Here is a 14,606-nt window from a genome sequence, read left to right on the forward strand (position 1 = left end):
GAAGCACTCTAATACCTCTGAGCCTTTAGTTTGCCCTGTTACACCTCACCACCGGAGCCATGCATTTGTAAGATATAGGAGGTGGTTCAAGTGCTGTGAATATTTGTCTACATCTGTTTCTGCAGCCCAGATGCTGACCCCATGTCTATTTTCAAGGTAACTTTACTCATGAAGCATGTTTAGGTGTTTCTGTGGGGGAAAATTAATCATGTAGCCTTTCTCTTTGGAGTTCTAAACTAGTTGAGAAACACAGACAGCAGATGGATCTAGATAAGAAAAATCAACATCCTGGAGAGTTCACTGCGAAGAGGGGAAGAGGCTGTGTGAACCCTGCAGGCAGGAAGGGGAGTCCTGGGGGGATACCCCGGGACTGTCCCTCATACTGTTTGCTCAGGTCCTATCCCCAGTATGAGAGAGCACACCTTACAGCCAGGTGCTTGCGGGAAGTCCCTGTTTTATGGGCCAGGAGGAATGCAGTGGAAAGATGCTGCCAAATGATTGTTCTAGCCTGTGTTTCAGTAAGACGTCAATTCTGTGGGTCAGAGGTGCACGGGAGATAAAATATGGGTGGATCCCCCATGAAGAACCCTGGATAGAATACATGAAAACCTTGTAAGACAAATGAAATTGCAGGTTCAATTTAGTAGATACTAAGCACTTACTGTGTATCAGTCATTGTGCTGGATTGCTGATCTGCAAAGATGAATAATATCAGCATTATTTCATTCGGGGTGGGGATGGGCTCTTGGTTTCCTCCCTGGTATATTTGCGTATTTGCTTCCAGATCATTTATTTGGGGGATTTTAGAAGTGGGAGGTGGAGGTCAGAGGAAGTTAGGGTTGGCATACAAGGAGTCACTGCCAGTGGAAAATATATTGGAGAAAAAGCAGTTCTAAATCTATGATGTTAATAGGGAAATAACTTTGGTTTTAAATATAAGAATGTAGCTGACTGTATAAAATCAGTTTCATAAGCATTTTACCAAGCTCCTGCTACACTCGGGATGCTGAAAAGCAAGGCAGCTCTGTCAAAGAGTGTTTGCTCTTTTTTTTTTTTTTTGAGATGGAGTCTTGCTCTGTCGCCCAGGCTGGAGTGCAGTGTCGTGATCTCGGTTCTCTACAAGCTCCGCCTCCTGGGCTCACGCCATTCTCCTGCCTCAGCCTCCCAAGTGGCTCGGACCACAGGCGCCTGCCACCACACCCGGCTAATTTTTTTGTATTTTTAGTAGAGATGGGGTTTCACCGTGTTAGCCAGGATGGTCTTGATCTCCTGACTTTGTAATCCACCCGCCTTGGCCCCCCAAAGTGCTGGGACTACAGGTGTGAGCCACCGCGCCCGGCCGAGTGTTTGCTCTTATGAACGGTCTCAGAGTCACTTGCTGTCGTTCTGAGACTGTGAGGAAGAGCATAGAGCTGGGAGTTACACAGACTACTCCCCTCCTCACTTGGCAGAAGGATGACTTGGGTGAGCTGCATCACCTTTCTGATCCCCAGTCTCCTTGTTCATTTGGGATCTCTGGATGATTAAATGAAATAGGAGGCGGAAGGGACTGCCGTTGCTTGTTCACCATCACTCAGCAGGCTCTTGGAAGGCCTTGGTGAATCTTTTTTTTTTCTTGCCCCCGAGATGGAGTCTTGCTCTGTTGCCCAGGCTGGAGTTCAGTGGCACGGTCTCAGCTCACTGCAGCCTCTGCCTCCTGGGTTCAAGCAATTCTCCTGCCTCTGCCTCCCGAGTAGCTGGGACTACAGGTGCGCGCCACCATGTCCGGCTAATTTTTGTATTTTTAGTAGAGATGGGGTTTCACCATGGTGGCCAGGCTGGTCTTGAACTCCTGGCCTCAGGTGATCCACCCACCTCGGCCTCCCAAAGTGGTGGGATTACAGGCGTGAGCCAGCGTGCCTGGTATGGAAGGCCTTGGTGAATCTTAATGATGGGCTGGACTGTGGGTGATGGAGCTGGCTGGAGGGGAGTTGAGAAAGGGGCACCTGTGGGACATTGGCACTTGATCTCGGAAGGATTCACAATCACTTGGTGATTAGAGTATGTCTAGGGTATGGCTTTTGTGGAAAAGGAACACAGCACCAAGGAAGTCACAGGAAGCAGGCCTGCAGCCCCACGCCCTGGGGCACTTACAGGACTCTCCCAGGACCTCTTCCCTCTGACATTACTGATGGCAAAGGCGGTTCTGTAGACCTTGTGCTAGGGCTCCCAGGACTTGGGCTTATGGAGAGAATTCTAACGTCTTGCCTCTGCAGGACCGGGCAGGCCATATTAAACCATATGGCAAAGGGAGCTACTGAGGATTTTTCAGCAAAGGAATCGTTGGATTTGCATTCCCTCTTCTGTGTTCCCACAGTCCCCATGTCACTTCCTGCATGACTGGACGATCCCTCCAGGGCAGTATCCTACCTTTTTCATTAAGTGGGGGGCATAACATAATGGCAGGGCAGGGACTTTGGGGTTCCATACCTGGTTTAAGTCCCCTCTCTGCCAGTTACCTGGGCTGAGTCACAGGACATCTCTGAACCTCAGTTTCCTCATCAACTAACCTTATCATCTAACCTTAAAGGGTTGCTATTTTGAGGCCCTTATGAAGTGAGCATGACTTAGTGCTAACAGAAGATGAGAGTGAAGGTCTTGAGGATCCCCTGGTGTGACTGCATGATGGGTTTCTTGAAGTCTTGGGCCATTCCAGCCAACATCAGAATCAAGGGAGATTACGGATTCAGTGGCTTTTCAGATTTTAATGAGGCACATCTCATTGTTGTTCAGATGTTTTACGAGTTCTCTTTATGTGTGTATGTATGTATTTTGGTCAGCATTTGTTGGAAAGACTGGCTGGGAGAAGTTTTCTGCTGCTTTTGGAGGAGCTGTGTGCTATACGCAGGCCAAGCCGTTTTCCCTTGGCAAATGGTCCTTAGGACGGAATCCCAGGCCAACGGGTGTGAGTAGAAGGAGCATGGGACCTATTCATGTGACATATGGAGAAACCACAGCCTCATGGGGGAGGGGGTTTTGACCTCCAGTCTGCAGGAGATGGCTGTGGTCCAGAACTCCAGGACATGGGGGAGTGTGCATGCTGAGTGCATGTGTGTGTGAGGCTAGTGCTCCTGACCCAGCCCAGTCCAGCTCAGCCATTTCTTCTGACAGAGTCTGTGCTAAGCCTCCTTCCTAGCTTTTGATGCCCATTGCAGGGGAGCAAAAAATAGCTTCCCTTCTAGTTTCTTTGGCTGGGCTACAAACTGAATTGATATAAGACAGATTAACAAGAGAAAAACCATATTTAGTTACATATGTACATGTGGAAATCCCACAAAATATGAGACTTGAAGAAGAGTCAGATGCTTGAAGCTTATATAGCATCCTGAGCTATAGAAAAGAATAGGGGCTTGGGGGTTGTTGTGGGGGACATAACTTATGGGAGGGTGAGGGGAAGAATTACTTATGGTGAATAAAGGATGTGTTGTTATGCAGATAAAAGGTCTCTTAGGTAATAAAAGTTGTCTGGAGCAGCCCTCTTCCTGGCACAGATACTTTTAGTAATGTAGATTTTCTTCTTAGATGTACTGTTTTTTTTTTTAAACAAAGGGACAGCTTTTTGAGCTACTCTAGTTTCTTAGAATAACCAGCTCAAAATATGCCAAAGAAGTATATTTTGGGGGTGGTATATTCTGGTCTCCTACAGTCATATTTTGGGGTGGTGTGTCCTGTGCCCCAACATCATCTAAGATGTGTGCTAAAGATATTTTTCGGTGTGAAGAGTGGAACTGAGACCGTGAGGGGAAGGAAATCTGGGTTTCAAGTTGGGAGATGTGGTTTTGGTCCCAGTTCTGCCACAGATTCACCTTGGTCAAATTGCTTGCCTTGACTGGACCTTAACATGAGGTGATCTCCACAGCCTCAGCGTGCTAGGAGGCCAAGGTAGATGATGCCACTGACCCAACCAAATGGCCAGACTCTAGGTTTGGCCGTGGCAAGGAGTTCTGTCTGGCTTTTTAGTTTGGTCTTGTTTTCGATGATGGAGGATGCTGTAGTAGCCATCTTCAGGCATGGGGCTTCTTGCTTTTGAATACATTTCCAGAAGGAAATTACTGGGTCAGAGGATAAGAACATCATGATGGTTGTTGCTGTGTGTTGCCATGTTACTTTTCGGGAGCATTGTAACAATTTACACAGTTGTTGGCTATGAGTGAAATAGCATTTTTAACCCAAACTGATCTAGTATTTGATATAGTCATTATATTTATGATTTCTTTAATTTAGGTGGCATAAAATAGTACTTTGAAGTTGCTTTATAATAATGGGAGCCGCTTTTTTTGAGAGGCATACACACTGATGAATGTGCCAGGTGTTTACATACAGTATGTCATTTGCTGCTCACACTGACCCCATCTGGGAAGCCAAGTAGCTCACCTGAGTCTGTGAGCTGGGCTTTGACCCTAAGGGAGTTTGACCCCAGAGCATCTTCTTCCTCAGGTGGCTGTCCATGCTTTGATTTGTGTGTGTGCGTGGTTACCCGAGGGTTGAACTTTGGCTTGTGTGCTTGTTTACTGGCCGTGTTTTGAGGTATGTGAATTTTATGTTTTTGTAGAAAATTGAATGTGCTCTTTGTGTAGAATTTATGAATCCTCTGCTATAGTGGAAGCAACAACAGAGGTGCTTCCAGTAGAGTTGGGGAAAAGACTCAGTGACACTAGAACCTCACCCTGTGCCGGGACTCTCTGAAACCCTGTTTTCTCCCTCACGCAGCGGCCCTCCAGGCACTGAAGCGTAAGAAGAGGTATGAGAAGCAGCTGGCGCAGATCGACGGCACATTATCAACCATCGAGTTCCAGCGGGAGGCCCTGGAGAATGCCAACACCAACACCGAGGTGCTCAAGAACATGGGCTATGCCGCCAAGGCCATGAAGGCGGCCCATGACAACATGTACGTGTCCACCCGCCCCTGCGCCACAGGGCAGTGCTAGTCCCGGAATGCCTCGTACCCAGGCCATGGCCTTGGGCAGACGGATCCCTTGACTTACCTATTCGAGCACCTGAGTTTGTTTTAATTCTCATTCTTTTTTGGAACTCCGAAAATGGATGACGTGCCTTTGAAAGGAGATCTCATGGGATGTAAAAGTACTTTCTGAGTAATTCAGGGTTATTGTGATGAGCATAGTTTCAAGCTGGAAAGGCCTTTAGAAGGTCCTCTTGTCCAGACCTGTGAATGTGAAGGTGGGGAAGCTGTGTCCCAGAGAGGGAAGCGGATTTGCCCTGTGTGACATGGGAGCTTGGTTAGAACTGGGATTAGAATCGGTGCCCATGATTTTTCCCTGATGCTGTCAGGGGCCCTGAAATGTGTGGTTCATCCAAGAGCTTTGGATCTCTCTGTTCCTATGTCTGCTTTTGATGGCGTTTTCTGCCTCCTCTCTTGCTCTCCGGCTGTAGCTGTCATTGACAGTGATCTTGCCCTCAGCAGTCCTTCTTCCCCTATATGGCTACCTCTCATGGCAGTGGCCTAAGAAACTAGATAACCAAGCTTGTTACAGTTGTAACTAAAGGCCAAGGTAAGGAGGCTCCAAATGAAGGCCTCTCTCTTGAATACAATCTGCATTTGGGCTGGGTGAGGTGGCTCACGCCTATAATTCCAGCACTTTGGGAGGCTGAGGCAGGCAGATCACCTGAGGTCAGGAGTTCGAGACCAGCCTGGCCAACATAGTTGAAACCCCATCTCTACTAAAAATACAAAAATTAGCTGGGTGTCGTGGCATGCGCCTGTAATCCCAGCTACTGGCGGCTGAGGCAGGAGAATCGTTTGAACCCAGGAAGTGGAAGTTGCAGTGAGCCAAAATTGCACCACTGCACTCCAGCCTGGGCGACAGAGTGAGACTCTATCTCAATAAAAAAATAAAAAATAAAAAATAAAAAATCTGCATTTGTTGTAGTGCTTAGATTTGGCAGCATATATTTGGGGGTGCTAGGTGCCTTTTTTGCTTCCTTTTGGGTACTCAGCTGTGCTGTCCAATGGGTGGGAAAATGCACCCTATGGGCTTGCCATCTGTTTTTGTAAATAAAGTTTTATTATTATTTGAGACAAGGTCTTGCTGTGTCTGTCACCTGGGCTGGAATGCTGTGGCCCAATCCTAGCTCACTGCACTCTCAAAATCCTGGGCTCAAGCCATCCTCTCACTTCAGCCTCCTGAGTAGCTCAGACTACAGGTGTGTGACATTATGCCTGGCTAATTTTTAAAATTTTCTGCAGGGATGGGGTCTCACTGTGTTGCCCAGACTGGTCTCAAACTCCTGGCCTCAAGTGATCCTCCCTCCTGGGCCTCTCAAAGTTTTGGGATTACAGGTGTGAGTCACTGTGCCTAGCCTTAAAAGTTTTATTGAAATACAGTCATGCCCCTTAATTTACATATTGTCTGTGGCAGCTTTTGTGCTACGCAGCAGGGTTAAGTATTTGCAACAGAGACTGTCTGGCCATAAATTCTAAAGTGTTTACTGTCTGGCCCTTTGCAGAAAAAGCTTGCTGATGTTGCTCTAGAAATGTGAGGTTGCAGGAGAAGTAGCCTTCAAATAAGTGAGGTTTTGTCTGAGGGTGGATGTTCATTGGACCGAGCTGCTTGAATGAGAACCATATATGCCTCATTTCTGTGTTCTCCTGGAAACCTAGCAGAGTGCAGCTCATTAAATACTGTGCAAATGTTGACGTATATGTGTGTATGTTGGCTTGAGTAAATATAGGTTTATATGATTGTCAGTGTGTAGAAGAAAATTCTGCATATTTGCGGAATTTGCCTTTCCTTTGGGGTCCTAGAGGATCCATAGGTGGACTGAGTAGATGGAAGGCCCATTAGACAGCATGGCTGTCTTCTGTGATTTGTGCTTTTACTTCCCCCTGTACAGAGTTACCCTTGGACTTGAAAAAGAGCTATTGGCCCAGGAGTTAAAGCCCTGCGGTCTTAATGTGATACCTTTACTAATTTGTATGTAGGACCTTGATAGTGCCACCTGTAGGGTGTTGGACTGGGTAGTGTCTTAAAGACATTCCCGTCCCCTTGAGTCTATGATTCTCTATTTTAAAGGGGAGGAGGCAATAATGCCAAGTAACCCCTCACAGGGAGTCATTGCAGGGGGTGTGGCTGGGAAGCTGATTTTGTGGGGCCCAGTTTCTGCTCCCGCCTTGCCTTGCAGGCCCCCTTTACGCAGCCTAATCGATTGATATGATACCTGTCCATTGCATTTGAAGGGACATCGATAAAGTTGATGAGTTAATGCAGGACATTGCTGACCAGCAAGAACTTGCAGAGGAGATTTCAACAGCAATTTCGAAACCTGTAGGGTTTGGAGAAGAGTTTGACGAGGTGAGTAGTTTTGTACAGATCCCATAAGCTTCACAAATGATACCCTGAGGCTGTCCCTTGATGTGCTCTTGAAGGCTCTCAGGCAGGGAGCATTTGGACTTGGACAGAGACAGGGCATGGTGTTAACCCTCCCTGAATTCTGCATTTTGAGGGACACTTTCTCTATTTGGGGTGGAAGCTTAGGTAGAGTAAAGGCACATTCATCAGGACCCTTCAGCAGGCTTCAGGTCACTAACTGATTTGAACAAGTAGCTAGCCTGCACCTTTCCAGGGTGGGCCCTGGCACAGAGCTGGGCAGCAGAGATGACCATGCCCTGGAGAAGTTCACAGGATTTTCCCTGAGACAGCTTCAGCATGAGGGAAAGGTAGAGCAAAGAGGGGGCACTTACCCCTGACCCGGGGTATCTGTCTAGATCTCGGCCATCTGCCAGTTTCTGCTGTAGCAATTTGGGACCTTGAGTCTCTTAGGTTTTTAAAGTATGGTACCAGCCCCTGTTGAAGGTATTTCACTGTGTGCTAGATTTGTGTCTCCTGAAGGTTAGGTCCTTTCTGCTGGACCTTTGTGCTTTCTGACCCCTGCTGTATAACCGAGAAAACAGCGTGCAGCTCTTACCTTTGGCTCTCAACACCAGGGTTTTCATGTTTTCACACTGGAGTTCGATGGATGAATCGAGTTCATTTCAAATCAGCAAACATTTCTGAGCATTCACTCGTGTGCCCAGCTCTGAGCCAAATAAATAGGAAGGCAAAGATATGATCCCCTCTCCCAGATGCTCACAGTCTAGTGCAGGACACCAGAGGTCTACATCAGTGATGTGCAGCAGTGATACGTTCCCCAGTAGAAGCTGCTTTAGGATATTTGAATCACAGGGTCTGGAACCTGGAATTCACCTCCCCGCAGACCTTCTCAGAGGGGTGTGTGTCTCCATGAGCATTAATTAGGTAGGAGGCATGACCGCGGGGGCTGGGATTCCCAGGGAGGGCGCTCACTTTGTGTTTCCTTTTACTAGGATGAGCTCATGGCGGAATTAGAAGAACTAGAACAGGAGGAACTAGACAAGAATTTGCTGGAAATCAGTGGACCCGAAACAGTCCCTCTACCAAATGTTCCCTCTATAGCCCTACCATCAAAACCCGGTGAGTGCTTCTAGAGTCATGGCACACCGTGAGGTCATGTGGCAGGTGATCTTGTGGTCGGTTGGCTTTGGTTTGTGGTCGGTTGGCTTTGGTTTGTGGTCGGTTGGCTTTGGTCTGTGTCCTGAGCTTGCCCAAGATTGAGAACCAGACAGGATCCATTGTAGTGGCCACAGAGGCCATGTCACCTGGCTTTTTCTGGTTTCTCTCTGGAACAGTGTTTCTTAATCTTGACGCTGTGGACATGGCCAGATACCTCTCTGGGCCGAGAGATGGAGGGTGGGGGCGGGGTTGTCCGGTGCACTGTGGATGTTCAGCACCATCCCTGGCCTCTGCTAGATGCCAGTAGCAACCGCCATGAGTTATGTCAACCAAAAATGTCTTCAGACATGGCCAAATGTCCCTTGGTAGGGGTTGGGAGGATCACCCCCAGTTGAGAGCCTCTTTTCTAGAATGATTTTCCTATTTCACTAAAGAAGAGAAAGTTCCAGGCACTGTGAGAAGGTGTGAGAGCGTGAGTCCAGGACAGCTCTTTCCCTGCCCCTCTAGTATCCTGTGCTGCGCACCCTGCAAAAGCCCCGGCCCCTAGAGACAGCCCCTGGGGGAAGGAAACAGCTTTGACTCCTTTAGAGACCTGATTCTATAAAACCTTCATTTCCTCCCTTCATTTCTTCCCTTCCCCCATCCCCTCGCACAATATTTCACCCCCAGGTAGAAGTAATCCACACAGAACTTCTAGAAAAAGCGAGGCAATTTGATGTGGCATGAGAGAGAACCCTGGGGGCAGTGCATGACCAGCTGTGGTCACCTCCCTCTCCCATGTATAAAGAGGGAACGGCCTCCTCAAGTAGAGTCAGCTGCCTAGAGTCCTGTGTAGGCAGAGGCCGTCCAGCAAGCCTCCTGGAGCTGTGTGGCCATGAGTCAAGCCACTTGAGGTGGAGTTGGGGGTTGGCAAGGATTAGATCTCTTCTGGGGTTCTTCCCACTCTCCTCCCACCTTGCAGGCTCTGGGACCGAAGCCTTGTGGGAATCCTGAGGGCCTCTGTGTAGAATCCTTGTTTTGTCTGGGCCTGCTGGAGGCGGAGGGTGGGTGCTGCCAAACTGTGCTTGGTTTTCCAGAGTTGTATGTTGCAGCTTTTAGGCACCAAGGAGCAGTCTCCCTACAGCCTGGAGAGGAGTCTGGCCACAGGGCAGGGCTGTTTGACAGACACCATGGAGCACAGGCAGCCCTCATTTCCGGCCAGAACATGTTGAACGCACCAGTCATCCTAAATAGCCTTTTCTGTCTTCACACAGCCAAGAAGAAAGAAGAGGAGGACGACGACATGAAGGAATTGGAGAACTGGGCTGGATCCATGTAATGGGGTCCAGCGCTGGCTGGGCCCAGACAGACTGTGGTGGCCTGCGCAGCGAGCAGGCGTGTGCGTGTGTGGGGCAGGCAGGATGTGGTGCAGGCAGGTTCCATCGCTTTCGACTCTCACTCCAAAGCAGTAGGGCCGCGTTGCTGCTCACTCTCTGCATAGCATGGTCTGCACCTGGGAGATGGGCGGGGGGAGGGGGGCGGGCGGGGTGGGAAGTGCCTGCTGTTTATAATGTTGAATTTCTGTAAAATAAACTGTATTTGCAAATCCAACATTGAGCTTCTGGACTACGCTGACTCCACTGCTGAATCCTCAATGGAAAGGGTCGACTGGTTGCAGTTGAAATGACCTGAAATGTAGCCTCTGTCCTTGTAAGTCAGTTGACTTGCCGCACATCTCTTTGTGTACTTGTACGGTACTGGCAGAAAAGTCATTTTTCAAAAGCCATAGGCTTTTCCTTGCCCTTAGCTGTAATAATGCATCTGATTTTGATTTCCTCCAGAGCTGTGTTTCTGTCCATCACCTGTGTATTGGCCCTGTGTTTACCACTCTGGCCCACTCCTCACCCCCTTGCTCCCCTGGTCTTCTGGAGTTTGTGACATTGATTTGAAATGGATGGTGTTCTCTTGAGAGCAAGTGAGATTGTTAGAATTAAGTTCCAACTATACAGTTTTCTAACATAGCTATAAGGTCCTTGTTGCTGTTTGTGATAACTGATAGATAACTCATTGGAAACGTGCATACATTTATATTCAGATGAAATTATGGTTTGCACTGTCTATTAAATATCTCGATTAATTTTCATACTTTGCTGTTGTGTTTAATCTATCATTTGCCTCGGGAGCTGACCCTTTCCAGACCAGCAAGGTGTACAGTGGAGTCTGGAAACATGGAAGACTTAACCATGACATGTGTCAACAGTTTGAACCAAAGAGCAGAGCTTGTCTCACCAGAAGTCTGTTCAAGTCCTAGATTGGCCCTCACCTTGCCTGGGGACTCTCTGGGTACAGTTCAGGGTGAGTTGGTTCTTGGGTACTTCAGGGTCTTCCCTATTTCTTCTCTGCCAGTGTCCATGGGCAGTGCCAGCAGGAGCCTTACTGTTGGAAGCCATGGTGCTCCCATCAGACAAGGCTCATCAGGAACATTGAAGAAATGGCCTTTCCCATGGGGAGGAAGTGTAGGGCACTGACTGAGAATCTAGGACACAGAGGTCACCTCAGGACTGCTGAGACTCAACATATGACTCTGGCCCAGCCCCTTCCACTCTGTCCCCTTTTCTTTGGTCTTGTATCCCCTTGAGAGTGTGATGCATGCTGTGGACCCTCTTCAGAAAGGTGGATCTCTACATATTTATCCTTAATTTTGCATGCAAATTTGCAGTATTGAGAGGACACCCCTGTCCCCCTGTGCTCACTCCCAAACCTTTTAAAGTAAAACCAACCTGAGTTCAAAATGAGACACCATCATTGCTCACTGGGCGCCCTGGGGCAAGTTGCCTACCCTCCCTGGGGCTCCTGTTCTCACCTGGAAAGCAAGGGGATGGGAACAGATCAGTCCTGAGGTCCTGTCTGTGTTGAGCGGCTCATGCCCTGTCCCTCATCCCTCATTGCGGCATCCCAGGGCTGCCACACTTAGAACTGGGAGGGACTTGAAGACAGTGGCTTAAAAATTCCTGACTTGTGTGGAGGTTGGATCTGGCTAGTCTCAGAAGTTCTTTCACCTCAAGACAAATCTAGTGGCAGTGCTTGCTGCCAGCTTCCACCCGCTCAGCCTGCAGCTGGTGTGGCCTCTGGGTATCGCTGGTGTGGGAGACCTAGTGGACTTTCTTTTTTTTTTTTGGAGATGGAGTCTTGCTCTGTCGCCCAGGCTGGAGTGCAGTGGCGCGATCTCGGCTCACTGAAAGCTCTCCTCCCGGATTCACGCCATTCTTCTGCCTCAGCCTCCTGAGTAGCTGGGACAACAGGCGCCCACCACCATGCCTGGCTAATTTTTTCTATTTTTAATAGAGATAGGGTTTCACTATGTTAGTCAGGATGGTCTCGATCTCCTGACCTCATGATCCGCCCACCTCGGCCTCCCAAAGTGCTGGGATTACAGGCGTGAGCCACCGCGCCCGGCCCCCAGTGGACTTTCTTAAGCTCCTCTCATCAGCTGTTACAGGGCGTCTTGCCCTAGGTCTGTGTGAGGGGAACTTGCAGACTCAACCCTCCAGCTCTGGTGAACCCAGAAGCCAGGTCCAGGGCAGGGTCTGTGACTCCTCTGAGCAAGAGCTGCTTATTTCTACCGAGTGTGGGTCTTGTGCCAGGGCCTGTGGAGTACAGTGTTCAGTAATACCCAGCCCCTCTCCTGTTCTCAGGAGGTTCTTGGGGCCAGAGAGAGAAGTTACTGAGTCAGGATTCCTTGGCTACAAGCAACAGAAGCCTCAACCCACTGGTATAAGCAATGGAGACATTTACTTATTTATGAAAACTTAGTCAACAGATATTTATTGAGCACCTACTGTGTGCTAAGTACTGTTCAAGGTGCCAGGAGTACAGGTATCAGAGTCCCTGCCCTCAAGGTGGTTACAGTCTAACAATCTCAGGACAAGAAATCTTGGTGGTGGGGCGAGGGGGTGGTTCTGGATTTGGGGTAGTGGCTGAACCATGTCCTCAAGAACCAGGTTCTTTGCATCCTTCTGCTCTGGCACCCTGCACACATAGAGGCTTTTTCTTTTCTTTTTTTTTTTTTTGAGACAGGGTCTCACTTTGTCACCCAGGCTTGGGTACAGTGCTGTAATCATGGCTTACTGCAGCCTCAAACTTCTGGGCTCAAGCAATCCTCCCACCTCAGCCTCCTGAGTAGCTGGCACACGCCGCTACTCCCAGCTAATTTTTAAATTTTCTGTAGAGAGGGAGTCTCACGATGTTGCCTAGGCTGATCTTGGACTCCTGGGCTCAAGCGATGCTCCCACCTCAGCCTCCCAAGGTGCTGGGTTTATAGGAGTGAGCCACCACACCTGGCTGGAAGTCTTGCTGTCTCTTGGTTGTGAGATGGCCCTTCCTCACATGCGCAGTGTCAAGAAGCAGCAGGCCCAGCACCCGCCAGCTTTTCCTTCACCTGAGCCCATGTTAACAGGCCAGGTTTCCCCAGAGTCATCTTACAACTTGTCCCTTATGCCTCATGGACCATAACTGTCACATTGCCACTTCTTGCTGCAAGGGAGTCTGGAATGTTTGTACGGGACAAAAGGGACAAATAGGGCTCTCCTGTAGGGCTAGGGGTGGAGCCTCCCTTCCCTGAATATATTAATGTCCACTTACTTGATGCTGAATAGAATTGGGCTTCTGTTAACAAGGAAGAAGGAGGGATAGTTGCTGAGTAGGTGGCACCGACAGTGTGCACCATGGAGGCAGAACCAAGAACATAAGACACGTATGTAGTTGGTGCTACCAGTTTCTTCCAAAAAGTGGATCTGATCGTGACACTTGGTCCTTTCGAATCCCTCAGTCTGCCTCCATCCTCTCCTGTTCTGGGCAGACTAAAGGTGCGTCACCATTATCCAAGGAGCTTGTGAAAAATCCCGAGCTGGGTGGAGACTCAAGAATTGCATTTTCACTGCTGGGTGTGCGATGGCTCACACCTGTAATCCTAGCACTTTGGGAGGCTGAGGCAGGTGGATCGCTTGAGGCCAGGAGTTGGAGACCACCCTGGCCAACATGGTGAAACCTCGTCTCTACTGAAAATACAAAAATTAGCCGGGCGTGGGGGCACATGCCTGTAATCCCAGCTACTCGGGAGGCTGAGGCAGGAGGATTGCTTGAACCCGGGAAGCAGGGGTTGCAGTGAGCTGAGATTGCACCACTGTACTCCAGCCTGGGCAACAGAGTGAGACTCTGTCTCAAAAAAAAATTGCATTTTCACAAACTCCTGAGGTAATTCTGATGTAGGTGGGCTGGAGCCCACACTCAGAACACTCAACGTCGACAGGATCAAGTCCTCAGAATGGCTAACTTGACCTCATGACCTGGCCCCCATTTTCATTTCCCTTTGAACCCCAAATCCTGTTACCCAGACTTCCCTGTCTCTTGGAGCATGTGCTCTGTCCCTGTGGCCCTTCCCTCCTGGACACAGCCCTCCCTGTCCTGCAAAAGCTGCTGCTTCCTCCTCTGCTGCCCACCTGTCAACGCTGTCTCTTCATCATTTCCCACTCCCTTACCAGATGGCGAGGTCACTGTACTTCCTGGCCCCTAGGTCCACCTGGCACAGATCAGGTACGAAGACATTTATGTGAACACCGGTGTGGTGGAAAGTCAGAGGGAAGTACTGTCGCCAGGGTGTGCCAGGAGGAGGTGGGATCTGAGCTTGCACGTGAAGGAGCAGATTTTCCACGTATGCCTGTGAGGCGGAGCACCATAGACCAAGGGAACCTGCTGAGGGAGACACGGCAGGGAGGCCAGGGGCTGCCTTGGGAGGAGTTGGCTGGGGGAAGGGGCTTGCTTGGAGTGGGTGGGAGGTAGAACTGAAGAGGGAGGCTGGAGCTAGATGGGATGGAGGGCATGAGACTAAGGCAATTGCAGGCAGGCAGGAAAGGACGGGAGGAAAGGGAAGGAGGAAGGAAAGAAGGGACAGAAAACAGGAAGAAAGGGAGAAAGGAAATTAGGTTCTCAGGCAATAATTTGGGGCCAGGAGAGGATAGAGATGAAACTTCTAAGGTTGCCTTCCATTTCCCTCAGTGATGTGAAGACAGCTTTGCAGCAGCTGTGATCCTGTGGAGTCAAACC

The 14,606-nt window shown here is 49.2% G+C and overlaps 1 protein-coding gene across 1 annotated transcript in view, besides 2 other annotated features; it reads left to right on the plus strand.

Moving 5' to 3' along the window:
• The window catches only part of CHMP4B (charged multivesicular body protein 4B), a 43,019-nt gene extending 32,370 nt beyond the window's left edge, over nt 1-10,649 (plus strand). The window contains exons 2-5 of the mRNA NM_176812.5: nt 4,750-4,927; nt 7,235-7,349; nt 8,360-8,486; nt 9,779-10,649. Of these exons, the coding sequence (NP_789782.1) occupies nt 4,750-4,927; nt 7,235-7,349; nt 8,360-8,486; nt 9,779-9,843 (485 nt within the window). The 3' untranslated portion in view covers nt 9,844-10,649. The remainder of the gene's footprint in view (nt 1-4,749; nt 4,928-7,234; nt 7,350-8,359; nt 8,487-9,778) is intronic.
• Nucleotides 66-365: an enhancer, noted in NCBI's record as "active region_17749". NCBI's record gives its function as "activates an Ori minimal core promoter by ATAC-STARR-seq in GM12878 lymphoblastoid cells {active_cell/tissue: GM12878}" and the evidence as "EXISTENCE:reporter gene assay evidence [ECO:0000049][PMID:35858748]".
• Nucleotides 9,550-10,050: an enhancer, noted in NCBI's record as "H3K27ac hESC enhancer chr20:32441073-32441573 (GRCh37/hg19 assembly coordinates)". NCBI's record gives its function as "activates a minimal SCP1, AML or CMV promoter by ChIP-STARR-seq in naive H9 embryonic stem cells {active_cell/tissue: H9 hESC(naive)}" and the evidence as "EXISTENCE:reporter gene assay evidence [ECO:0000049][PMID:30033119]".

Source organism: Homo sapiens, chromosome 20, assembly GCF_000001405.40.
Source record: "Homo sapiens chromosome 20, GRCh38.p14 Primary Assembly".
NCBI lineage: Eukaryota > Metazoa > Chordata > Mammalia > Primates > Hominidae > Homo > Homo sapiens.